Source organism: Homo sapiens, chromosome 3, assembly GCF_000001405.40.
Source record: "Homo sapiens chromosome 3, GRCh38.p14 Primary Assembly".
Taxonomy (NCBI): Eukaryota; Metazoa; Chordata; class Mammalia; order Primates; family Hominidae; genus Homo; species Homo sapiens.
In genome coordinates, this window is record NC_000003.12 from 112,044,858 (window position 1) to 112,072,686 (window position 27,829).

Below are 27,829 nucleotides of genomic sequence, written 5' to 3' on the forward strand. Positions count from 1 at the left end.
ACCTTCCATTTCCCAAGTCATTTCCTGCAGAATGCCATGTTATGTTCCTTTCCTAAAACGTGGCAGTATTTATGTCATTAGGAGCTCAGGCTCTGGGGGCCGACTGGAAACCAAATTGGGCTTAATTACTGGATCTGCTACTAGCTATGTGACTTGGAGTTGTATTCGGCTTCAGTTTTCTCACCTATAAAACTGGAATAATAATGGGACCTTCTCATAAGATTAAATGGGATAAAGCAGATTTAGCACAGTCCCCGGACATGGCAGAGTATCAAACATTGTAATGGTTTTAATTTTTTTTCTTTTTTGAGACAGAGTCTCGCTCTGTCGCCCAGGCTGGAGTACAATGGCATGATCTCAGCTCACTGCAACGTCTGCCTCCCGGGTTCAAGCAATTCTCCTGCCTCAGCCTCCCAAGTAGCTGTGATTACAGGCACCTGCCAGTATGCCTGGCTAATTTTTGTAGTTTTAGTAGAGACAGGGTTTCACCGTGTTAGTCAGGCTGGTCTCGAACTCCTGACCTCAGGTGATCTGCCTGCCTTAGCCTCCCAAAGTGCTGGGATTACAGGCGTGAGCCACCATGCCCAGCCATGGTTTTAAATTTTAATGGCAGTGAATACTGATTGATATCCATAGAAATAGCATATTCTCCATGGAGACGCAACTCTACAGTAATGGTTTTAGATTAGAATCCAACACTATGGTCTGAATACATATAACATGATGCTGTCCTTTGCCAATCTTCATAACAGACGTCAATGACTACCTAAAGAAGGGAGCTAGCTTCAGTTGAAGGATGTGCTCATTGGCCTTACCTTGAATCCATCATCTGGGTATTTCTTCTCTGTAAAGTCCTATGAGGTCCCTGATGATCTCTCTTTTTTCGTTATAGCAGCAACAACAAAGGCGGCCTCCTTGTCCACTTTTGGATTGTTTTTGTCATGCCACGTGCCAAAGGCCACATCTTCTGTGAAGACTGTGTTGCCGCCATCTTGAAGGACTCCATCCAGACAAGCATCATAAACCGGACCTCTGTGGGGAGCTTGCAGGGACTGGCTGTGGACATGGACTCTGTGGTACTAAATGGTGATTGTTGGGTAATTTTCCTTTAGCATTCCTTCCTGCAGGACTCCTGATACTTGCCATGATTATAGTCAACATTGTAATGAAGCATTACAATGTGGGATTACCCCACAATCCCAGTGGCGCAGGATTAACTAAAGACATTGGAGCTATGTTAGTAAAGGAAATTGCTAAATGTTGTATATTGCAATTGAACAATAGATGTGGGGACAATATACATACGAAATTGAATGTATTACTGTGTACCTCTACCTACCTTTATTCAGGTCATGCATCATCAAACTAAGTCCCCAAAGAACAAAACCCTAGACAAGGAAGAATTTTGCTGAGGTTTATCTTGTTACTTTACTTGCCCAGACAGAACTGTCCCTTTACTGTGTAATGTTGTCCAACACTCCAAAACAGCTTGCTTCATAGCCCCAAATGCAAATTTCATTGTTTGCCTTGATAGTAAAATGGTTTAATGATTGCATAACTCAAAATTTGTGCAGTTTTCTGTTTTGATTTAAATTTTATAGATAAAATACATATATGAACATGTTATAAGTATATTATAAATTTGTGTGTATTTAAAAATATATAAGTATATTATACACACACACATACACTAGGCATATGGTAGGTAGCTGACAAATATTTGTTAAATAAAGGAAAAATCTCATAGAAAATTCTGTATCTCATGTACTATTTCATATATAGGACTAATATCATATTTGTTTGGTTGCTTTTTTACCTTTGAAAATATTTGAAACTTGCAACTACAATTTCAAGGATACAAAAGTAAAGAGAATAGTATAGTGAACTCTCATACACCCTTTACTCAACCTCGACAACTACCAACTCACTCATGACTATTCTATTTGATCTCTAAATACCTGAACAACTACCTCATCCTCACTGGATTATTTTAAAGTAAATCCCAGATGTGTTTGATTGCCTTTAAAGAAGGACTGAAAATAATTTTTACTAAGCAAAATTCTAACAAAATGAAATGATAGGATTCAATCTCTTCTCATGTGCTTTTTCAATGCAGCTGGGCTTCGGTCGGATTACTCGTCAACCATAGGATCTGGTAAATTCTTTCATGTGGTTCCCCCTCCCCCCATGTTAATATTGTTTTTGGCTGTAATTTTCATTTTCTAATTGATGGTATTTGTTAGTGCTCTTTTAATTGCAAGTGACAGAAATGCATTCAAACTGCCTTAAGCACAAAAGAAACTTGACTGGCTCATGTAAGTGGGACATACATGGAGTGTGCTGGCGTTAGTTATGGTTGAGTCTAGGATCTAAAATAAAAATATCATCAGAACTCTGCATCTCTGCCTACTTCTATGGAGCCTTCTTTATCAAGTGTGCTCTTCCACTGTATTTGTAACAAGGACCACCAAGCAGATCCAAACTTATAATTTATCATTTTCTAAACCATGATGAAAACCACCTCCACGTATTTCCTGATTGCTCTTGCAGAAGTCCTGGGGCTGACTCTCATTGTCTGGATTGACTGACATGCCTATTCTTGAAATGACTTCTTTGACTCTGATTGGCCAGCCTGGGTTATGTGCCCACCTCTGAAACTAGGGGTGAGTTTAACCCCAACCAAACTATATAGACAGAGTGTGGATAGTTTCTAAAGGCAAAATGCTGGGCTGTTACCAGAAGGCAGGGAAGTGGACCTAGGCTGGCCATATGTCCTTCACATGACCTCTTTTGCCCTTTACTTTTCTATAAAGATTTCTGTTTTTATAAAAGTCATTCCTAAAAAAAAAGAAAATAAAGGAAAATGGTGCTGTCTCCACAGACAAAGGCTGCTCTCAGTACTTCTATGCAGAGCATCTGTCTCTCCACTACCCGCTGGAGATTTCTGCAGCCTCAGGGAGGCTGATGTGTCACTTCAAGCTGGTGGCCATAGTGGGCTACCTGATTCGTCTCTCAATCAAGTCCATCCAAATCGAAGCCGACAACTGTGTCACTGACTCCCTGACCATTTACGACTCCCTTTTGCCCATCCGGAGCAGCATCTTGTACAGGTACGATGCAGGTACTCTTCTTGGTGGGTAAAAATATTTTTCACAACCTCTGTTTTACAGTATCTGTGTTCCCCCTGGATTTTTTTTTAAAAACAGTTTTTGTGTGCACACATGAGGTCAATGGCTGACCCGTGCCCTATTTAGTATCCCCTATACTTTAGTACCCTCGCCAGAGCCTATCAGTCTCAATGTTTGTTTTCCACTTATAGCAAATACTCTCAAAGTCAGTACAGCAAGAACGTCAGCCAATATACCTGAAATATAACAGATACTTTGTTTAATTTTACATTTATTGGAATAAAAATGAAGTCTACTATTTCAACAGTGTGAGAATAAATATCCTATGATGATTGCATCACATTAGTAAACAATTAAATTTTTTTTCTCGTTACAAAGATAACACATGTTTATTGTAGAAAATTAGGTTAGAGGAAACGGTATCAATTACTTCACAACCTCATTATTCAGAGCAAATTTCTGTTATATTTTAGCATAAATCCTTTCATTCATGTATGTGTAATTACACACACATATACATACCCTAGTATTTTTTACTTAATAGTAGATATTTATTTATGGGTGCTTAATATTTGGTAAACTAATAATGAATTAGGCTTCATTAAGAAATTATTACTCACTGTGCTAAAAAGGTACATAAATCATCCTATTATTTTTAACCGTGTCTATGGATGTATGCAACAATGCTTTATGTGTGTATGCAGGTATTTATATTTTGGGGATGAATGTGCATGTTAAAAATTCAAACACTATATAAGAATATGCAGTGAAAAGTAAGTTTGCCACTGATGCCCATTCCTCCATCATCAGCTTCTTTTCATCCTTTCAGACATATTTACTTATCTCATTTAATCCTCAGCAAAATGCTATGAGGAGCATACTATTATTATTACTACTGAGGCAGGAGAATAGGATCTGAAGGCAGGGAACTTAAGGCCAATTAGTGCTGACTTCCTAAAGCTGATTCAAGGGGAAACAAGAAGATCTGGGGGCAGGGAACTTAAGGCCAATTAACACAAACTTCCTAAAGCTAAACTAAAAGGAAAAGCCCGGTCACTCTACAACCCTGCCGCTTCCGCCACGTCTCAGGTGGAAAGAGAAAGCACCCTGGATTGGCTGGGGGTCAAGCCCGGGCCATTCCTTCATCTGCATACCGCACCAATTCACCTCAGCCTTTAATTAGCCATGGGCCAAACCCTTCATCGAGATAAGGGGTAGCTGATAGGGACCTCACAAGGAGTACTTAAAACCCAGAATACTTTGTAACTGGGCCCTTGAGCCGCTTGCTCTGGCCCACTCCCACCCTGTGGAGTGCTTTAATAAATCCCTGCTTTCCTTTCTCATTTTTGTGTTTCATTCCTTTGTTGCTTTGTGCATTTTGTTCAGTTCTTTGTTTAAAATGCCAAGGACCTGGACAACACACATGGCCTTTTTTTCTGGTAACACTACCATTGCGTAGAAGAGAAACTGGTGCTTACAAAGATTTAAGCCTGGCATCTTTCATCCATTTGCGTGATGGAGCTGAATTTTGAGTCCAGTTTTCCTTAGAGCAGAGTCCAGGACCTTAGCCATTAGATACACTACTTTTATGCCGTATTTGTGCCCAAGGAGCATACAGTGACAGCCATCCCAGAGAATTCTCTGGTAGAGGTTCCTACACAAAAATGTATCTACCTTTTCTGGCTCTGTAGTGCTCTGTGGCTACTAATGGATGAGGATCTGGCTGGGAGAGATTCCCAAGAACTGAGTGGATGGATTGAATGGATGGCCCAGGAAATGTGTGGAATCGTTTTGAATGGAGACCCATTTCTCAAATAACGTATTATTCATGTACTTTTGTTTTATTATCTGCTTTCAGAATTTGTGAACCCACAAGAACATTAATGTCATTTGTTTCTACAAATAATCTCATGTTGGTGACATTTAAGTCTCCTCATATACGGAGGCTCTCAGGAATCCGGGCATATTTTGAGGTCATTCCAGAACAAAGTAAGTCTTCCCCAATTATGGAGAAGTCACTTTTAGAAATATTTGTAATGATAGGCTATTCTTATCTTTCTGGAAGCTGTGTTGTAATATTCATTGTATTAGTCTGGGACTCTGAATAAAGGTCCAGTCAGAAGAGAGAGACCATATTAGTTATTTAGACAGAATGAATTCTGTAAGAACTATTAACTTCATATAAAGGTGTCAATAAGGTTACTCAAAAGGCAAAAAGGACAAGAAGAGAAATGTATCATGGATGTAACATGTGCAGAAAGTAACTATCATCCCTAAGGCTGGGTGAACAAAGGAAAGAGGTTGAGATTATTACAGTTTAGAGCTTAGAGGAGGGAATATGAGAGATGGAACTCAGGCCTCTGAGGAGGGATTGCTGTTCAGCTGCTGCTGGTGTCTCTGAGTTCAGAACTATGTTTTTAAAGAGAGTAATAGCATCTTGCAGATCTGCAGCCAAAACATATGATGTGAAAACAAATATAGAATTAGAGAATAAGCATTTTAGCTATACATCTGTAGGGTGGCATTCCTTTCTTCTGAAAAAAAAAAAAAAAACCCAAAGTTTAAGAAATGTATAAAGCTTGTCGATCAAGGAAGTGTGCCTTAGTAATTAAAGAAATGTATGAAGTGTATTTTCCATAATCTCACAGCTGCAAATCATTGTGTGTCACTGGGTATCTTTTCCAGAGTGTGAAAACACAGTGTTGGTCAAAGACATCACTGGCTTTGAAGGGAAAATTTCAAGCCCATATTACCCGAGCTACTATCCTCCAAAATGCAAGTGTACCTGGAAATTTCAGGTAGCCTAGTTCTACCAGTGTCTTAGAAAAATATTACTGCTCTATTTTTAATAGCATGAATTTCATTCATTTTTTAATTACAAAAGAATATTGCTTAATTTTATAAAATTTCAGTATTATTGAAATATATTATTTAGAATGCAACACTTTTCTGTAATTTCAACCCTCTGCCCACAAATTAACTACTCTTAGCAGACTGGGGCCTTTTTCTCAAATTTATTTTGTTGGTATTGAAAATGCAAAGGCATTATTGAAGGTTCAATTATTGTATTATGATAGAGCACATTTATCAATTTTTAATTACTTAATCACCAGCATTGTAATAGGAATAATAATAAAATAATAAATTGGATTAGGCAATACAGTCAGCCCTCTGTATCTGCAGGTTTGGCATCCGTGGATTAAACCAATCACAGATCAAAACATTTTACAAACAGACACAATAAAATACAACAATAAACAATAACACAAATAAAAAACAATACAATATAACAACTATTTATATAGAATATAATTGTATTAGGTATTATAAGTAATCTAGAGATGATTTAAAGTATATAGAGGATGTGCATAGATTACACGCAAATACTACACAATTTTATATAATATACTTCAGTATCTGAGAATTTTGGTATCTGTAGGGTTCCTGGAACCAATCCTCCACAGATACTAAGGGACAACTCTATTATATTTCAGTTGTATAAGCAAACCAGAGTGCAAATGTATACGAAATATCTATCTATCTATCTATCTATCTATCTATCTATCTATCTATCTATCTATGTATCTATCTATCTATATCTATCTCTATTATCTATCTCTATTATCTATCTATCTCTATCATCTATCTATCTATCTATCTATCTATCTATCTATCTATCTATCATCTATCTATCTATCTATCTATCTATCTCTATTACCTATCTATCTATCTCTCCCTCTGGTGCTAGATAGGGCATTTATGCTTTTTTAAAAAAAATCTTAGTAAACTGCTTTTTCTTTCTCCACCTATAATATCACATGGAGACAGGGCAAAGTGTCACCTCTGTTCATTCAGGATATACGTATAGACTCATTATTGTGTGGCATAGCAATTAGATGAATTAGATGTAAGTGGCAAGCAGTATGTTGTTTGCGTTTATTCAACATATTATTGAATGACTACTATGGGCCAGGCACTCAGGCACGATTCCAGATACTGGGGATCCACGAAATCAGACACAAACACAGAGCAGCAGCCCTGCTCTCATGGAGCTTACCTTCCAGTAGGGGAAGGCAAGTAATAAACAAACAAGTTAAATACGCGTAATATGTCTCGTAATGATAAAATGCTATGGAGAAAAATAAAGCAGGGAAGGGGGCTCTATAGCCTGAGTTGGGGGTGGGAGGTGTGAAGCATAACAAGTTAGGTGTTTGTTATCTTAAATAGGATGATCAGGGAAAGTCTTGCTGACAAGGGGACATTTGCGGATAAACCTGAAAGATGACGGAACTAACCTTGTGAATACCAGGATAAGAATGTTGCAAGCAAAGAGAACAGCTGAGCCAGGGACTCTGAGGCAGGAGGGTGCTTGATGCATATTTTTTTTTTGTGCATAGTCATAATAGTTAAATAGTTAAAATAATTTCATTACTCTACCCAAACCTGTAAGTTGGTGTCAATACCCTGATGGCATGTGTCCTTAAATTTAAAAAAAAATCATTATTACAAATATTTCCAAAGTAATTAAGAGATAAAGGTGCTGGACCCTTGCTCACTGCCAGGTTCTCAAGGCTTCAGGGCAGCAGAAATGCAGGGCCTCAGATAAGCAGCAAGTCTGAGGAGGAGAGGAAAAGAGGAGATGAAAGAAAGGGTTAGGGAAGGAAGAGGGAAAGGAAACAAATCTCCATTTCTTCAGTCTCTCCACAAAGCAGATTTACCTTCTTGAGCTTGTGTGATAGCAGAAAAAGACAGTGCCATTCTCAAAAGCTCTGTCGAATGTTTGAAATTCCTTTGAGATAAAATAAAGGTTGACTTCTTAATAATCCATAGCCTTAAAATGAAAATTTTAAAACTTTGTTGGGACTTTTAGTCAGGGTGTGAAAAAGAATATTGGATCATTTACTGTTTTGCTAGGGGTTGGGGGTGAGAAATGCTGAAGAAAAAAAAAAAAAGTCTTTAGAAGGAAAAGGACATCCCAGTGAGCAAGTGAGGAGTGGGAGAAAGGAGGCAGGAAACAGCAGGACAAACGTGTTAGCTGTTGTCATCTCTCAGAGAGGAAGTTTGTCCTCCTCAGTGTAGAGGTTAAATAAAACTGTTCCTTTTCAGAAAGCTTTGAAAACATCAGGGCATGTTACTGTGAATGGAAATCAGTGTAAAATTGACTTTTTTTTTCACCTGTAAAATAGCTTTGAATTTATTAAAAAAAAAAACTCGATGACTTAAGTAACAAAAATATTGACTCGTTATGACAAAAGTTTTTTACACAAAAGTTAGTTTATATTCTCCTCAATCCATCTTAGTGTCTGGTCCCATTTTGAAATTTGCTGAAGAGCAGTCAACCCCCTTTGCAAACTCACTTCCAGCTGAGCTTTAAGGTCTTATTTATCTGAGAAGGATTAACTCCTGCTACAGCTTAAAGATTCTTCTCTCAAGCTCTCTTGTCCACTCAACAATGCTTATTAAATGTCTGCCACGTGCCAGGCTCTATATGGGGATGCCTAGTAGCAAGATAAAGTTCTTGTTCTCATGGAGCTTACAGACTACAGGGGAAGAAGGAACAGATAAGTACAACCAAAAAAGGGTGTTGAGTTTGTATTCTGTTGTCTATATTTGTTTAGCACTTCAGTGTTTTTGGCAACATATTTTTATTTGCCCTTCAAAACACACCTCTAATACAGAAGACATATTCTTAGCACATTTTATAGGTATGGGAAAAGAGATGGGTTGAATCATTTGCTAGGGATCACTCAAACAGAAAGTGACCCAGGTAGGACTAGAAGGAATCATGCCTCCTCCATAAATAAATTCAGCCCCTTCTCCTTTTCTGGGTTTCTAAAGATGTTCTGCTTCCCTACGTTTCTTAACAATCACTTAGCTGAACATTTACCACCTCCCTTCTTTTTTGTATTCCAATACATTTTGTTATAGAATCTTAGAAAAGGAATATGCAGCAGTGCTTTGAATTGTTTTATCACAAAAGTCATCAGCACAGCACCATCCAATTTAGGTCTGCCAGGCATAAGCATGGATTTTTACGGGCCATGTAAGTCACCTCCTTATATCACTTAGGAAATGCACAAGATTCCCCAGAAGGGAGCTCCATTCCCTGCTTCTGTGAAGGAAATATGCAAGCAGTTTTACCACAGAAACTTTCACTGCTCATCTGAGGTGGGTTCTTGGGTTGTGTACACACCACCACTGGCAAATTAGGGGTGGGCTGAAAGATGAAGCCTCCTGCATCCTATCACCATCACTGACTAGAGAAATATTTAAATATTACAGGTCCAGATCGGGAAAATTCCTCCCTTTACTTGATTAAAGTTCCCAATGCAAAGGCAGAGGATAGGGAACAGAAACAGAGAACACAGAACATATAATAGTGGACTTATTTTTTGTTCATTTGTTGAAATAGCTTGCAATGCATTGTGAAACTAAATGTCACCCCTCTGTCTGTCAAGCAGGTTAATATAAGTAATGACTTTTGGCCAATCTGTATACAAATGTAGAATTGTGTGCAATTCTGTGTTAGTGGAATCAGTGTGCAAGGGGACTCATTTCTTTTCACTATGGAGGAACTCTGTGGATTGGAAGGTAGTGTTACATATGAATCCATTTTTATGTTGAAGCTGTGGAATCTAGTGAAAATGCCTAACTGAGCTTCTTGTAGAAGATTGCACTGGAAGATGTTCTTACATTATAAGATTTACATTAGTTACTTAACATATTTACTATCTCTCAGTTTGCTTTTTTTTTTTTTTTTTTTTTTTTTTTTTGAGACGGAGTCTCGTTCTGTCGCCCACGCTGGAGTGCAGTGGCACATCTCGGCTCACTGCAAGCTCCGCCTCCCAGGTTCACGCCATTCTCCTGCCTCAGCCTCCCGAGTAGGTGGGACTACAGGCGCCCGCCACCAAGTCCAGCTAATTTTTTCTATTTTTAGTAGAGACGGAGTTTCACCGTGTTAGCCTGGATGGTCTCGATCTCCTGACGTCGTGATCCGCCCTCCTGGGCCTCCCAAAGTGCTTGGGATGACAGGCGTGAGCCACTGCACCCGGCCAGTTTACATATTTTTTATGTGAAGAAATAACCAGATGAGAAGACTTAAAAAAAATTGATATGTGTTCTTATGAGCCCTGGGTTTTCGGTAAACATAAGAGAATCCTTTTCCGATTGAGCCCCCCATGTTGGTATCCAAGCAGCCTGATACACCGGGAAAAGGGTGACCTTCAGAGACATGCAGGGCTGGTCTGAATCTGTGGTCTGCATTTTTTAACCTTGGAAAAGTTACTTATCTTGGTTAGTCTTGGTTTTTACTTCTGTGCAATGGGATTCACACTACCTGCACAACAGGGTTGTTGTGATGTTTAAGTGAGAAACATAAAGTGCCTGATTCATTCTCCCTCAAAGGTAGGTGGTGAGGGGTGGTTTACTCTATTCAAATGCACATTGGAAACAAGCAAACACTTGCGCAGACACACACACAGACACACACACACACAGCATAACATATAATACGATGACATAACTAAAATGTCTTTCAGAGCAATACAAGTAATGGGTAAAATTCACCTAAAGAAAATGACAATAAGGTTGAATTACAAAGTATTACCTAAAACTGAACTTTATGTTATTTTCAAATGACAAAATGAACTAAAAAGCAATTCAATAAGGCTGAACAAAAAGGATGGGCAATGTATCAGGCAAGTATAAACAACAAAAAGCAGAGTTCACAATCAGTACCAGGCAACACTGAAATCAGGGCAACGATACCCCTGATTTACAAGTACCAGACAAAAAGCAATTTATAATGATGAAGACGATGATCCACAAGATGTGATTACGTCAATTGTTTATGCAGCAAACAAAACAGCAGTAATACTCATAAATCAAAAACAAGTGGAAATACAAAGAGAGAAGTGGGCAATGCCGGCTAGGCACAGTGCTCACGCCTATAATCCCAACACTTTTGGAGGCTGAGGCAGGTGGATCACTTGAGCCCAGGAGTTCGAGACCAGCCTGGGCAATGTGGTGAAACCCTGTCTCTATAAAAATTATTTTACAAAAAAAGTAAAAAAAAATAAGCAAAGAAGTGGGCAATGCTTAAATAAGGAATTTTAAGTCTCTTCATTCATGACAGAGATAGTGGAGGACAATAAATAAGGCAAAGCAGGATATTAAATATTGAATATCATACACGAGTTTCATATTATAGATATGCAGACTACTCCTTTTTTAAAGTGACCATGAAGCATTCATAAATTTGACCACAAAATTTAAAAAATTTAAGGCACTATAAATGATACTCTTATTCAACTAAGAATTAGAAAGCTTAAAAATGGATGAACCCAAATTTGACTCTCTTAAATATAAAAATTCCTTAAATAATTCCTGGGTCAAAGTGAAAATCAAAATGAAAACTTTGTCATATCAGACATAATACAGATGTATACCACAAAATGCAACAAAAAAGTGAGTTGCATAGTGTGTGTGTGCATGGACTGGTGTGGTGCATGCACACACACACGCACACACACACATTTGCTCATATACGTAGACAGCTTTCTCTTCTGAGGTCTTCCAAGAAGATCTAGGGGTGACTCACTAACAGCCTTCAGAAATACTGAATTTAATATGAAGAGGAGGCTGATTCATTTCTCCTTTATCTAAAGAATCTGAATGATGCTTTAAATCAGTTGTGTCATATGTACATTAAAAGAGTAAGGTGTTTACACTCATTAACAAGTGGGTGTTATTAAAGTTAAGTTCACACTAACAGGGAGAAACTGAAACCCAGAGATGCTGATAAGTCTCAAGTCACCCCGCTCCACTTGGGACCCAGCAGCTGCTCCCTGAATACATGGCTGCCTGCTTCCTTCTTCAGAACGCTCTCCTCCTTATCCCGCTTTGTTCAGGAGAACTGGTTTACCCCACTAAGGGCCACAGGGCGCAAGTAGAATGGCCTTAAAACAACAAGCCAAGGGAATAAGTAAATACATACTTTGATTGAAGCATTTTTTTCTGACTTAATGTTTATTTTCACAGACTTCTCTATCAACTCTTGGCATAGCACTGAAATTCTATAACTATTCAATAACCAAGAAGAGTATGAAAGGCTGTGAGCATGGATGGTGGGAAATTAATGAGCACATGTAAGTGATTTTCATATGTTTTCATATGTGAGGCATCTGATGAAAAGTTCATAGCTGTGTGTTCCTTGTCCTCAAAGAGTTTGCGCTTTACCATTTACAGTTAGGGAAACTGAGGGATATAGGAGTTATGTAACTTGCTCAAGGCCATGCAGCTCATGAGTGATGGAGGCAGGATTCAAACCCATGTCTTAGGGCTCCTGCCCCACCACTGCTCTCTGCTGCTGGGCTACAGATATGTATATTCCACACTTCACAAGAGTATTTGGCAGATGAGTTTTTCAAATCCTGGATCCATGGGGGAATATAATAAATTGGGGTTCTGCTGAAAAAAAATGTTAGAGACCATTGACCAATTCTGTGTGGTAGGAAAGTCCCAGTTGGCCTGGCTGGATCCTGAGACTGGGAAATGGGTTGAAGCTAATCAGAAATCTAGGGGCTTAGGGCTAGAACCAATCTACTTGGCTGTAGAACCAATGTACTAGGTGCTCACTCTCACTCTTAATTTGTCTCTTAATTATTGTTGTTGATTTCCTTCTAAATCTATAACAGATTACATAGGCACTGAATTAAATAGTTTTGTTTTTTGTTTTGGTTTTTTATTTTTATTTTTTTGAGACAGAGTTTTGCTCTGTCACCCAGGCTGGAGTGCTGTGGTGCGATCTTGGCTCACTACAACCTCTGCCTCCTGGGTTCAAGCAATTCTCCTGCCTCAGCCTCCCAAGTATCTGGGACTACAGGCACGCACCACCATACCTGGCTAATCTTTGTAGTTTTAGTAGAGATGGGGTTTTGCCATGTTGGCCGGGCTGGTGTCAAACTCCTGACCTCAAGTGATCCACCTTCCTAAGCCTCCCAAAGTTCCAGGATTACAGGCATGAGCCACCACACCCAGCCCTTGAATAGGTTTTCAAAAATACAGGATGCCCTGTCTTGACCACAGAATATCTTCTTAGTTCACTTTCAGAGAATTCTGTTAAGTTAAAGGATTTGCTGCTACTTCTTTGCTCATTGTTATTCTATGAGTGAAACCTTCCCTTTCTAAGTGCTTTTTCAGAACAAACTTCTTTCAATTCCTTTAGACAGACTACTTGCAAAATAACTGGTCCTGTCTTCATTGGAATAGGCTTTATCAAATTTAAGGACATTCTTGGATTCACTATTAAAATGCAGACTGTATTGTTTTGGGGAGTGTAATTGAATCAAGACTCTATGTTGTGGGAGTCAGAAGACCTGGGTTCAAGTTCCAGCTCTATCGTTTAGTAGCTACATTAACTAGGGCAAATTATTTAACTTCTTTGAGTTTTGGTTGGTGAAATGAGGTAATGATTCTTAATAAGTTTTTCTTGTTTGTTTTTTGGTTTGCATTTACGAAATCATGTATACCACAAAGCAAAAAATACTAGCTATTATTAATATGAATAACAAGATTGTTTTTGAAATGACACTTGTTGGATAAATACTATAGAACGTGCCCCCAAGGCTTTAAAGATACTGCATTTTGGTATTTAATTAAAATAGAGATTTGTAAAGAAAACAAATCTTTACAAATCTTTTGTGAAGGTGTAAGCCTGTGACGGAGCTGTGCTTTGAAAATGAGGAACTATTTTATCCCTAAATCACAACAACGACCCGGGATGTGTTTATTGCTGCCTAAGTAGGAGCAGAATCTGCTCCCAAGCAATACCAGGAAAGCTCTCTCAGCCCCATCCTTTCCTAAAGGGCCAGTTCTTCACTAGGCTTGTGGGCTGGCTGAAATCCTATCAGATTCATTTGATGCTTCTTTACCCTCAGGATTTAAAATGCCAGCCCTTCACATTATCAAGTACTTTTCATCTAAAAAGGAAAAGCTCTAATTGTGCTAACTAGACACCTTGCTGAGCAGTTAGCCTAAGGAAATTGAGGCTATAATGGGGAAGGAGGAAAAAGTAATCCTGACTGGAAGAAGCCTAATGATCTCCTCTAGACAGCCTGGGGGTGAGGTGTGAATGCTCAGGGCAGCTGGACTACGGTATATGAACCCCGAAGAAATGGATGGCCTTTTTACAAAGATTTAGCAGGACAGAACTGCTTTGGTGTGCTAGAGTTTAGCATCAGGCCAGTTGGCATCCAAATCTTGGTTTTACTTACTTGCTATTTGAACTTTGGCAAGTTATTTCACGTCTTTATGTCTTAGTTTCCTCACTTGTCATGTGTCTGTCTATATAAACTGACTCTTGCTGGCTTTCTCGTGTTTCTCAGTTTTAAAACTCATTTCACAAGCCACCATTATTCCCCATTGCATACTCTCCCCCTTTAAACTCCAGCCCAAGCCTGTGATCTCTTTCCTCTTGATTCCCCTTAACATGCCTAGCAAGGCTCATCTTTGCAAGGAAACTCTACTAAATGTTAATGGTGAGCACAAAGGAAATCACTATGAGATTCAGATAACATAATCAGCATGTTTTTATGGGCACAGGATTCTGATCTCAAGATGGCCAACTCTGACTCCAAAAGTTTGGCATGGCTTGGCTTTCAGGTGCCTCTCAGACCCTGGCTCCCAGTTAGCCAGAAGGACATCTGCACTTGCCATCTCTTCCTCATACCTCAGGAGTTGGTCTAACAGGTTATCAGTTCCTGTACTTCAGCCAATTGCAAAAGACTCTTCCTGAAAAACACATGAATGCTTTCCTCCTTTAATCCTTAAAATCACAGGTTATCTGTGCTCCTGAATGCCAGTGTCTGATCCATGGAAGATGCCTGTTTCCCGAGTGCTTTAGGGGCCTAGAGTAATTGGCATCACAGGTTCCAGTGGAGGTCATTACCTATTGGGGAACCTGCCCCCGATAGTCATGTAGGTTCTTTTCTATTTTCCCTAAGCATCGGCTGGGTTGAGAAATAAAGGGACAGAGTACAAAAGAGAGAAATTTTAAAGCTGGCTGTCTGGGGGAGACATCACATGTTGGTAGATTCCGTGATGCCCCACAAGCCGCAAAAGCAGCAAGTTTTTATTAGTGATTTTCAAAAGGGGAGGGAGTGTACGAATAGGGTGTGGGTCACAGAGATCATGTACTTCACAAGGTAATAGAATATCACAAGGCAAATGGAGGCAGGGCGAGATCACAGGACCACAGGACCGGGGCAAAATTAAAATTGCTAATGAAGTTTCGGGCACACATTGTCATTGATAACATCTTATCAGGAGACAGGGTTTGAGAGCAGACAACCGGTCTGACCAAAAATTTATTAGGCGGGAATTTCCTCGTCCTAATAAGCCTGGGAGCACTAAGGGAGACTGGGGCTTATTTCATCCCTACAGTCTCGATCATAGAAGATGACCACACCCAAGGGGGCCATTTTAGAGGCCCACCCTCAGGGGCACATTCTCTTTCTTAGGGATGTTCCTTGCTGAGAAAAAGAATTCAGTGATATTTCTCCCATTTGCTTTTGAAAGAAGAGAAATATGGCTGTGTTCTGCCTGGCTCACCAGCGGTCAGAGTTTAAGGTTATCTCTCTTGTTCCCTGAACATTGCTGTTATCCTGTTCTTTTTCCAAGGTGCCCAGATTTCATATTGTTCAAACACACATGCTCTACAAACAATTTGTGCAGTTAACGCAATCATCACAGGGTCCTGAGGTGACATACATCCTCCTCACCTTACAAAATGATGGGATTAAGAGATTAAAGTAAAGACAGGTGTAGGAAATCACAAGGTTATTGATTGGGGAAGTGATAAGTGTCCATGAAATCTTCACAATTTATGTTTAGAGATTTGCAGTAAAGACAGGCATAAGAAATTATAAAAGTGTTAATCTGGGGAACTAATAAATGTCCATGAAATCTTCAGAATCCACGTTCTTCTGCCATGGCTTCAGCCGGTCCCTCCATTCAGGGTCCCTGACTTCCCACAACAATTACCCCCAAGCCTTGTGTCTGCTGTCTCCCATCAAGATCTTTCAGGTTTCTCTGTGGGAAGAGCCTCATCTACACAGGGCGGTGGACTAACTTACGGGCCTGCAATATAATAATACTGTATGCTATGCTCCACTAACCACAGTGCTAATGTAGTGAGAATTATTAACAGGAGGGATATTTTCTCTAAAGGATACTGGGGGGCATTAGGTGATGAGAGGTAAGAAAAAATAATCAAGGTAGGGAAATATTGGAGACGGACATTAATTCTTTGAAATTTTGCCAAGGACAAGCCCTTATGTGCACGTCAGATTTCAATTTAGACTGAAATAATGTTGTCTTTTGCTTTTAGTCTTGCTGGAATTCTTTGCATATTTTCAACCTGATTGAATGAACTCCACTTTGCTTGGCAGAGCGGCTTGTTGACAAAAGCAGGCAATTCTTACATTACACAGGTTTTCACATTGTAAAAGGAGAGAAAACTGGGAGAATTAAATCCATATTTCTTTGGATCATAAGTGATGGTGAGGAAAGCAACAGGTCAATGGTACTATTATTGTTCCATTAAGCAGAGGAGAAAATAAAGAGGGCAGAAGTTACTTGATCACAGTCACATGGCCTAGAATGAATAACTACCATTAGCTCTACCATACGCATCTCTGTTTGTGAAAACCAAATGACCAAAGTATTAGAGAATTCACCATGAATGGGAATTCAGTCGACAGAACCTCAAGCTGTGTATTCTCCCCGACTCTTGTCTCCCCAGGTACTGTGGCTCCTACATGGATCATCAGACAATTTTTCGAGTGCCCAGCCCTCTGGTTCACATTCAGCTCCAGTGCAGTTCAAGGCTTTCAGACAAGCCACTTTTGGCAGAATATGGCAGTTACAACATCAGTCAACGTAAGCCTAGGATCACCTCCTTAGGAAAACTTAATACTTACATAGAGGATAACATTTTATAATTCCAAACCGTGAGAATTTAAGAAATGAATACTGCTTTATTTCTGCTATTTCCTTTTACATACTTATTTCTATAATAAATAATAATTATAAAATACAAATAAATATAACAAATATATAAGATTACATATTTATTACTACTATACTTTGAATTATTAAAGAAATAATATAACTTTTTAATATTACTGATTTATAGTTGAAAAATAATTTCTTACACTATTCCTTAAAGACAAGACATGTATTGGTTTGTAGTTCTTGCTAGCCATCATTCTCTGTAAATATGATGTTTACACCAACATGTAGTGGATCCAAAGCCAACACTTGTCACTCACTTTGGCCTGTGTTTGCACAGGAAGAGCTGTTTGGTAGAGGGAGTTCAAATATCAGCCCTCAGAATATTGAGTTTGAAATTCATACTGAAAACTACTGGAAGAGCGGCCAGGAAGTGCTCATCAGAAAAGGCAATGTGTGAGGGAAGTCATTAGAACTACAGAGAGTGGGTAATGACATGCTCAGGAAATCTTTGACCCATCTTAAGAGGGAAAAAGTAAAGATTGCCCACTGAAGAGTCCACAGGGATATGACTTGAGAGAACATTTCTTTAGACCATGTCCTTCTTTGCCAATCCCTAATAGATCTTCTTCTAGATTAAGAATATTACATCCTGAATTACAGAGTATTACAGTTTCCAGCAGAGTCACAGGTAGATAAAGCAAGCTGTCTTATTTTTAATTGTTTTTTTAAACCATAACTATTTTCCAGCTTCTCATCCATTCCATCATGTGCCATTGAAATAGTGTTTCCCTCGACCATACACTTTCCCCCATTCTTTTGCAAAAGGGGAGGAAGGATTCATTATTTCTCTAATGTTTACCTACGAACTCAGGATGAATGATTCAAGATCGGGAATGAATCTTGAATCAGGGAATGGATCATTAATCAGAAGCCTGGTTGAAGAGGAAAGACTAGTGGACAGGGAGGTAAGGGGCAGGAGTCTGGGTTCGAGGCCAGTAAGTAATCTCTCTAGGTCCAACGTGATAAGAGCAGTGGTTACTAATATGTTTTGGAGCACAGCTCACTTGAAAATGTAATTTAAGACATACAGGATAACTCATCTGATCACAGAAGATTCAGGGACACCAGAAGTCAATTTAAGATTCTCTAGTGCTGTCTAAAGACTCCACATTAGGAATGCTGGGCTCCCTTAGGTATGTTCCAACTTTCACATTCTTCAGGTATATGACAAAGTCACCCAGCTGAGACTAGACTATGGAGATAGTAGAAGTTTGCTTGTGCATATGACCTGAATGCAGTGCTCACAGAGAGCTCCAGGTGGATACTGCTTTCTTCTTTGCTCTTCTGTGTTCCGCTTTTTTGTCTTTCAATGACTGGCAGCCTTCATTTGATGAAGACACTATGTAATTATTACTGCTACCCTGCCAACTCCCTAACCACTTCACACTTTAAATTTGCTAATGTGGTCTAGTGATTTCAGGGATCTATCCAAGATTTTCTATTTTTTGATTTTTTGTTGCCCATAGCCTGCCCTGTTGGATCTTTTAGATGCTCCTCCGGTTTATGTGTCCCTCAGGCCCAGCGTTGTGATGGAGTAAATGACTGCTTTGATGAAAGTGATGAACTGTTTTGCGGTGGGTATTCAAGATTTTAATATGACTTTCTTATGAATAAGTAACTTCTCAGGACCATGATTGCTGCTGATATATATCCTTAGTATTTGTAGTTATTATCTATTACTGCATAACCAACTACCCCAAAACCCAGTGACTTAAACAATCATTTATTCTTGATCATGCATCTGTGGATTTTCTGGGATCTGACTAATCTAGGCTGGGCTCATATGGGTGGCTCTGCTTCAAGCATTGGGTCCACCTGAGCTTGGTTCTTCCAATATTGGAATCAGCTCTACTTTTGATGGCTCTTTTCCTCATTGAGCCAGTGGGCTAGTCATGGCAGTGGCAAAAGGAAAAGAGGGGAGAGCAGCAGCACATGGTTTCTCATAAGGCCTGGGCTTGGAACTGGCACACCATCATTTGTGTTACATTCTATTGTTCAAATCAAGTCACATACTTGAGAACAAAGTCAGGGGCAGGGAAATTCACTCTGTACACCTTGGGGCTATGGTAACACTGGGGTGCATAATACTACCACGGGGAGTAAAGATCTGTGGCTAATAATTTAATTTACCACAATCTTAAACACCGAAATCCTGTTTGAAGGCACAGATTCTCCATCTAGAGAGAAGCTCAGAATTTGCAGAGAAGTGCTCTTTCAGCGTGCTCCTTTATGAAGCCCAGATCCCATATGTTGTTTGTAAATAAAAGAGAACGGGTTTTGTGTGTGTGTTTTCTTTTCTTTTTTCTTTGAGACCAGGTCTTGCTTTGTCACTCAGGTTAGAGTGCAGTGGCACAATCACAGCTCACTGCAGTCTTGTCTTCCTGGACTCAAGCGATCCTCCCATGTCAGCCTCCTGAGTAGCTGGGACTACAGGTGTGCACCACCATGTATCACTAATTTTTAAAAGATTTTTATTAAAGACAATGTCTTTAATAAAACTGCCCAGGCTGCCCAGGCTGGTGTCAAACTCCTGGCCTCAAGCATTCTGACCACCTTGGCCTCCCAAAGTGTTGAGATTACAGGCACGAGCCACTGCAGCCAGCCCCATAAAAGAAAAAGTTTTGTTGTTATTTTTCTAACCTGTACAATTTGTATTGACATCACATTGGTGAAGACTAAGGTGTGGGGTAACTGGATATTCTTATTTTGGGTGGAGAATCTCTGTCTTAATTTTTCATGACTATTTGTACCTCATTCTTGAATCTATCTCTAGTTTCAGGGAGCAATATGGGAAGGACAATTCACTGGACTATGTGACACCATTGGCAGCATTTTGTCCTGAAGGTCCAGAGTGTTTAAATCAAATACAGTTACAATGATGATGCTATTTAATCTTTTGTGTATCCTTGGAAAAATATAGTTAATATGCTATATCTAACAGTGAAAATTATATTAATAAAAAATAACCTGTGACTATATACTTTATTTATTTATATTTTAGAGACAAGGTATTGCTCTGCCATCCAGGCTGGAGAGCAGTGGTGTGATCATAGCTCACTGCAGCGTCGAACTCCTGGGCTCAAGGGATCCTCCCTCCTCAGCCTCCTGAGTAGCTGGGAATACAGGCGCACACCACCAATGCCACTAACTCTTTTTTGTTTTTCATACAGATGAGGTCTCACTGTGTTGCCCAAGCCAGTCTAAAACTCCTGACCTCAAGCCGTCCTCCTACCTTGGCTTCCCAAACTGCTGGGATTACAGGCACGAGCCACCATGCCTAGTTTATACCTTATTTTTTTAATTGACAAAACAAAACACAAAATTTGTCTTAGCTTATGGTTCATTGATTATTTAAATCTATAGTATTCTATTTCTTAAGAAAATAAATACTGATCATTATATAATGACTGAGTTTTTTTACATTATTATTTTTTGTGCTGATTCTCCAAACAAAAATGATTATTGTTAATTTATAATAAGGACTGTTTTTTGGTAATCATTATTCCTCATTGTGCCATTTTTTGGAGCTATTCTCTAAGAGTCCATTAGGTATACTGAGGGACCTAATGAACAATTTTAGGGCAGCAATATCCTCCTACCTGCCCTCACAAGAGCTAGCTCTGAAAAAACAGGTGCAGATAGCAAAACTGATAACTATTCACAAAACCAGAAATGTCTAAGGAATCATACTTTCTAAATTTGCTTGCTTGTACTTGTTGCTGGTCTAAAAGCAATTCATGAAACTATTCCAAAGAGGAAAAACATGATAGATTTACATTAATATTTCCTAATTCAGGAAATGGATCTCATCAGACAAAATAATTCCAAAGAGACCACAGGGCCACATAAACCCAAAGTCTGTTATCCTTTAAGATCTCACATTCATGAATTCATTCAACAAACCTTGAGTAAACAACTGCTATTTGTTCGGGGGCTTGAGGTACGGAGATGAAGAAGACAAAATCTCCAATCTCAGGACACTCTTATTTTGCTTCAGAAGGTAGACGAGTTTGATTTAGATCACAGCTTATGATTTCTATCTCCCTTAAAATAAATTACTATGATGCATTTAATTGTAACTAAATAAACAAGCCATCAGAGTTTAACGCATTTATACAAAAGCAAAAATCAGATCTGACAAAACGTGCTAGAAATCACACCAAAGTTTAAACACCTACTTTTCCTCATGGAAGTGTCAGTTTTGAGGAAAATACACTTTTTGTTTTATAGGTCATCCTAATGATTTGTACCTTGAGACTGGCACTGCTGATCATCAGAGAACCCAGCTGGTGTCTCAGGCTCGTGAACTTTCTGTTTTTATTTTTTATTCTAGTGAGCCCTCAACCTGCCTGCAATACCAGCTCCTTCAGGCAGCATGGCCCTCTCATCTGTGATGGCTTCAGGGACTGTGAGAATGGCCGGGATGAGCAAAACTGCACTCAAAGTGAGGGAGAGTCCTCTGTGCCCTGCTGTTCCTCCTATGAAACTCTTCTAAATCAGGACAAAAATACCTCTGATGGGTTAGGGGTTAGGGCAATCAACTTGTCCCAGGTTCTCTGGAACTTCTCCAGTTTTAGCACTGAAAGTCCCTTGTCTTGGGAACCCCTTTAGTCCCAAGGGGACAAATAGGGACAGTTGGTCACTCTAAATGGAGTGGAATGTGTGTATGTGTGTGAGTGTGTGTGTGTGTTCATGTGTGAATACTGGCAGATTCTCCTTTTTTTTTTCAATTTTTAAAAATTTTATTTTAGTGTTGAAAACACTTTTTTTCTTTCTTTTTAAATTATTATACTTTAATTCTAGGGTACATGTGCACAACGTGCAGGTTTGTTACATAGGTATACTTGTGCCATGTTGGTTTGCTGTACCCATCAACTCGTCATTTACATTAGGTATTTCTCCTAATGCTATCCCTCCCCAAGGCCCTTACCCCCTGACAGGCCCTGGTGTGTGATGTTCCCCACCCTGTGTCCAAGTGTTCTCATTGTTCAATTCCCACCTATAAGTGAGAACATGCAGTGTTTGGTTTTCCGTCCTTGTGATAGTTTGCTGAGAATGATGGTTTCCAGCTTCATCCATGTCCCTGCAAAGGACATGAACTCATCCTTTTTTATGGCTGCATAGTATTCTCTGGTGTATATGTGCCACATTTTCTTAATCCAGTCTATCATTGATGGACGTTTGGGTTGGGTCCAAGTCTTTGCTATTGTGAATAGTGCCGCAATAAACATACGTGTGTATGTGTCTTTATAGTGGCATGATTTATAATCCTTTAGGTATATACCCAGTAATGGGATGGCTGGGTCAAATGGTATTTGTAGTTCTAGATCCTTGAGGAATTGCCACACTGTCTTCCACAATGGTTGAAGTAGTTTACACTCCCACCAACAGTGTAAAAGCATTCCTATTTCTCCACATTCTCTCCAGCACCTGTTGTTTCCTGACTTTTTAGTGATCGCCATTCTAACTGATGTGAGATAGTATCTCATTGTGGTTTTGATTTTCATTTCTCTGATGACCAGTGATGATGAGCATTTTTTCTTGTGTCTGTTGGCTGCATAAATGTCTTCTTTTGAGAAGTGTCTGTTCATATCCTTTGCCCACTTTTTGATGGGGTTGCTTGTTTTTCTCTTGTAAATTTGTTTGAGTTCTTTGTAGATTCTGGAGATTAGCCCTTTGTGAAATGGGTAGATTGCAAACATTTTCTCCCATTCTGTAGGTTGCCTGTTCACTCTGATGGTAGTTTCTTTTGCCATGCAGAAGCTCTTTAGTTTAATTGGATCCCATTTGTCTATTTTGGCTTTTGTTGACATTGCTTTTGGTGTTTTAGTCATGAAGTCCTTGCCCATGCCTATGTCCTGAATGGTAATGCCTAGGTTTTCTTCTAGGGACTTTATGGTTTTAGGTCTAACATTTAAATCTTTAATCCATCTGGAATTAATTTTTGTATAAGGTGTAAGGAAGGGATCCACTTTCAGCTTTCTGCATAGCCAGTTTTTCCAGCACCATTTATTAAATAGGGAATCCTTTCTCCATTTCTTGTTTTTGTCAGGTTTGTCAAAGATCAGATGGTTGTACATGTGTGGTGTTATTTCTGAGGTCTCTGTTCTGTTCCATTGCTCTATATATCTGTTTTGGTACCAGCACCATGCTGTTTTGGTTACTGTAGCCTTGTAGTATAATTTGAAATCAGGTAGCGTGATGCCCCCAACTTTGTTCTTTTGGCTTAGGATTGTCTTGGCAATGCAGGCTCTTTTTTGGTTCCATATGAACTTAAAGTAGTGTTTTCCAGTTCTGCGAAGAAAGTCATTGGTAGCTTGATGGAGATGGCATTGAATCTATAAATTAGCTTCGGCAGTATGGCCATTTTCATGATATGGATTCTTCCTATCCATGAGCATGGAATGTTCTTCCATTTGTTTGTGTCCACTTTCATTTTGTTGAGCAGTGGTTTGTAGTTCTCCTTGAAGAAGTCCTTCACATCCCTTGTAAGCTGGATTCCTAGGTATTTTATTCTCTTTGTAGCAATTGTGAATGGGAGTTCTCCCATGATTTGGCTCTCTGTTTGCCTGTTATTGGTGTGTAAGAACGCTTGTGATTTTTGTACATTGATTTTATATCCTGAGACTGCTGAAATTGCTTATCAGCTTAAGGAGATTTTGGGCTGAGATGATGGGGTTTTCTAAATATACAATCATGTCATCTGCAAATAGGGGCAATTTGACTTCCTCTTTTCCTAATCGAATACCCTTTACTTCTTTCTTCTGCCTGATTGCCCTGGCCAGAACTTCCAACACTATGTTGAATAGGAGTGGTGAGAGGGCACATCTTTGTCTTGGGCCAGTTTTCAAAGGGAATGCTTCCAATTTTTGCCCATTCAGTATGATATTGGCTGTGGGTTTGTCATAAATAGCTCTTATTATTTTGAAATACATTCCATCAATACCTAGTTCATTGATAGTTTTTAGCATGAAGGGCTGTTGAATTTTGTCAAAGGCCTTTTCTGCATCTGTTGAGATAATCACGTGGTTTTTGTCATTGGTTCTGTTTACATGATGGATTATGTTTAGTGATTTGTGTATGTTGAACCAGCCTTGTGTCCCAAAGATGAAGCCCACTTGATCATGGTGGATAAGCTTTTTGATGTGCTGCTGGATTTGGTTTGCCAGTGTGTTTTATTGAGGATTTTTGCATCAATGTTCATCTGGGGTATTGGTCTAAAATTCTCTTTTTTTGTTGTGTCTCTGCCAGGCTTTGGTATCAGGATGATGCTGGCCTCATAAAATAAGTTAGGGAGGATTCCCTCTTTTTCTATTGATTGGAATAGTTTCAGAAGGAATGTTACCAGCTCCTCTTTGTGCCTCTGATAGAATTTGGCTGTGAATCTGTCTGGTCCTGGAATTTTTTTGGTTGGTAGGCTATTAAGTATTGCCTCAATTTCAGAGCCTGTTATTGGTCTATTCAGAGATTCAACTTCTTCCTGGTTTAGTCTTGGGAGGGTATATGTGTCCAGGAATTTATCCATTTCTTCTAGATTTTCTAGTTTATTTGCATAGAGGTGTTTATAGTATTCTCTGATGCAGTTTGTATTTCTGTGGGATTGGTGGTGATATCCCCTTTATCATTTTTTATTGAGTCTATTTGATTCTTCTCTCTTTTCTTCTTTATTAATCTTGCTAGCGGTCTATCAATTTTGTTGATCATTTCAAAAAACCAGCTCTCAGATTCATTGATTTTTTTTTGAAGGGTTTTTTGTGTCTCTATCTCTTTCAGTTCTGCTCTGATCTTAGTTATTTCTTGCCTTCTGCTAGCTTTTGAATTTGTTTGCTCTTGCTTCCCTAGTTCTTTTAATTGTGATGTTATGGTGTTGATTTTAGATCTTTCCTGCTTTCTCTTGTGGGTGTTTAGTGCAACAAATTTCCCTCTACACACCGCTTTAAATGTGTCCCAGAGATTCTGGTACATTGCATCTTTGTTCTCATTAGTTTCAAAGAACATCTTTATTTCTGCCTTCATTTCGTTATTTACCCACTAGTCATTCAGGAGCAGGTTATGCAGTTTCCATGAAGTTGTGCAGTTTTGAATGAGTTTTTTAATCCTGAGATTTAATTTGATTGCACTGTGGTCTATGAGAGACAGTTTGTTGTGATTTCTGTTCTTTTACATTTGTTGAGGAGTGCTTTACTTCCAATTATGTGGTCAATTTTAGATAAGTGTGATGTGGTGCTGATAAGAATGTATATTCTGTTGATTTGGGGTAGAGAGTTCTGTAGATGTCTATTAGGTCCACTTGGTGCAGAGCTGAGTTCAAGTCCTGGATATCTTTGTTAACCTTCTGTCTTGTTGATCTGTCTAATATTGACAGTGGGTGTTAAAGTCTCCCATTATTATTGTGTGGGAGTCTAAGTCTCTTTGTAGGTCTCTAAAGACTTGCTTTATGAATCTGGGTGCTCCTGTATTGGGTGCATATATATTTAGGATAGTTAGCTCTTCTTGTTTAATTGATCCCTTTACCATTATGTAATGGCCCTCTTTGTCTCTTTTGATCTTTGTTGGTTTAATGTCTGTTTTATTAGAAACTAGGATTGCAACCTCTGCTTTTTTTTGCTTTTCATTTGCTTGGTAGATCTTCCTCCAACCCTTTATTTTGAGCCTATGTCTGTCTCTGTACATGAGATGGGTCTCCTGAATACAGCACACTGATGGGTCTTGACTCTTTTATTATTATTATTATTATACTTTAAGTTCTAGGGTGCGTGTGCACAACGTGCAGGTTTGTTACATATGTATACATGTGCCATGTTGGTGTGCTGCACCTGTTAACTTGTCATTCTTTATCCAGTTTGCCAGTCTGTGTCTTTTAACTGGGGCATTTAGCCCATTTACATTTAAGGTTAATATTGTTATGTGTGAATTTTATCCTGTCATTATGATGTTAGCTGGTCATTTTGCCCGTTAGTTGATGCAATTTCTTCATAGCATCGATGACCTTTACAATTTGACATGTTTTTGCAGTGGCTGGTACCAGTTGTCCCTTTCCATGTTTAGTGCTTCCTTCAGGAGCTCTTGTAAGGCAGGCCTAGTGGTGACAAAATCTCTCAGCATTTGCTTGTCTGTAAAGGATTTTATTTCTCCTTCACTTATGAAGCTTAGTTTGGCTGGATATGAAATTCTGGGTTGAAAATTCTTTTCTTTAAGAATGTTGAATATTGGCCCCCATTCTTTTCTGGCTTGTAGGGTTTCTGCCGAGAGATCCGCTGTTAGTTTGATGGGCTTCCCTTTGTGGGTAACCTGACCTTTGTCTTTGGCTGCCCTTAACATTTTTTCCTTCATTTCAACCTTGGCAAATCTGACAATTATGTGTCTTGGGGTTGCTCTTTTCAAGGAGTATCTTTGTGGTGTTCTCTGTATTTCCTGAATTTGAATGTTGGCCTGCCATGTAAGGTTGGGGAAGTTCTCATGGATAATATCCTGCAGAGTGTTTTCCAACTTGGTTCCATTCTCCCCATCACTTTCAGGTACACCAATCAAATGTAGATTTGGTCCTTTCACATAGTCGCATATTTCTTGGAGACCTTGTTCATTTCTTTTTACTCTTTCTTCTCTAAACTTCTTTTCTCACTTCATTTCATTAATTTGATCTTCAGTCACTGATACCCTTTCTTCCACTTGATGGAATCAGCTACTGAAGCTTGTGCATGTGTCACGTAGTTCTCGTGCCATAGTTTTCAGCTCCATCAGGTCATTTAAGGTCTTTTCTACACTGTTTATTCTAGTTAGCCATTTGTCTAATCTTTTTTCAAGGTTTTTAGCTTCCTTGTGATGGGTTTGAACATCTCCTTTAGCTCAGCGAAGTTTGTTATTACCTACCTTCTGAAGCCTACTTCTGTCAACTTGTCAAAGTAATTCTCCTCCAGCTTTGTTCCGTTGCTGGTGAGGAGCTGCATTCCTTTGAAGGAGAAGAGGCGCTCTGGTTTTTAGAATTTTCAGCTTTTCTGCTCTGGTTTCTCCCCATCTTTGTGGTTTTATCTACCTTCGGTCTTTGATGTTGGTGACTTACAGATGGGGTTTTGGTGTAGATGTCCCTTTTGTTGATGTTGATGCTGTTCCTTTCTGTTTGTTAGTTTTGCTTCTAACAGTCAGGTCCCTCAGCTGCAGGTCTGTTGGAGTTTGCTAGAGGTCTACTCCAGATGCTGTTTTCCTGGGTATCACCAGTGGAGGCTGCAGAACAGCAAATATTGCAGAGCAGCAAATATTGCTGCCTGATCCTTCCTCTGGAAGCTTCGTCCCAGAGGGGCACCCGCCTATATGAGGTGTCTCTTGGCCCCTACTGGGAGGTGTCTCCCAGTTAGGCTACACAGGGGTCAGGGACCCACTTGAGGAGGCAGTCTGTCTGTTCTTAGAGCTCAAATGCCATGCCAGGAGAAGCACTGCTCTCTTTAGAGCTGTCAGAGTGGAACGTTTAAGTCTTCAGAAGTTGTCTGCTGCCTTTGGTTCAGCTATGCCCTGCCCACAGAGGTGGAGTCTATAGGGGCAGTAGGCCTTGCTGAGCTGCAGTGGGCTCCACCCAGTTTGAGCTTCCTGGCTGCTTTGTTTACCTACTCAAGCCTCAGCAATGGCGGACGCCC

The 27,829-nt window shown here is 39.4% G+C and overlaps 1 protein-coding gene across 5 annotated transcripts in view; it reads left to right on the forward strand.

Moving 5' to 3' along the window:
• Window positions 1-27,829, forward strand: part of TMPRSS7 (transmembrane serine protease 7) — a 46,534-nt gene that overhangs the window by 10,122 nt on the left and 8,583 nt on the right. For 3 of the 5 annotated variants that reach the window (NM_001395507.1, XM_011512754.2, NM_001366279.2), the window contains 9 exons: window positions 893-1,086; window positions 2,117-2,155; window positions 2,882-3,110; window positions 4,987-5,117; window positions 5,814-5,926; window positions 12,168-12,274; window positions 16,930-17,066; window positions 18,668-18,775; window positions 21,535-21,645. In NM_001395507.1, the coding sequence (NP_001382436.1) occupies window positions 893-1,086; window positions 2,117-2,155; window positions 2,882-3,110; window positions 4,987-5,117; window positions 5,814-5,926; window positions 12,168-12,274; window positions 16,930-17,066; window positions 18,668-18,775; window positions 21,535-21,645 (1,169 nt within the window). Of the gene's footprint in view, window positions 1-892; window positions 1,087-2,116; window positions 2,156-2,550; window positions 2,664-2,881; window positions 3,111-4,986; window positions 5,118-5,813; window positions 5,927-12,167; window positions 12,275-16,929; window positions 17,067-18,667; window positions 18,776-21,534; window positions 21,646-27,829 lie in introns of all 5 variants that reach the window. The other 2 variants (NR_026734.1, NM_001042575.2) reach the window with 2 other exon arrangements.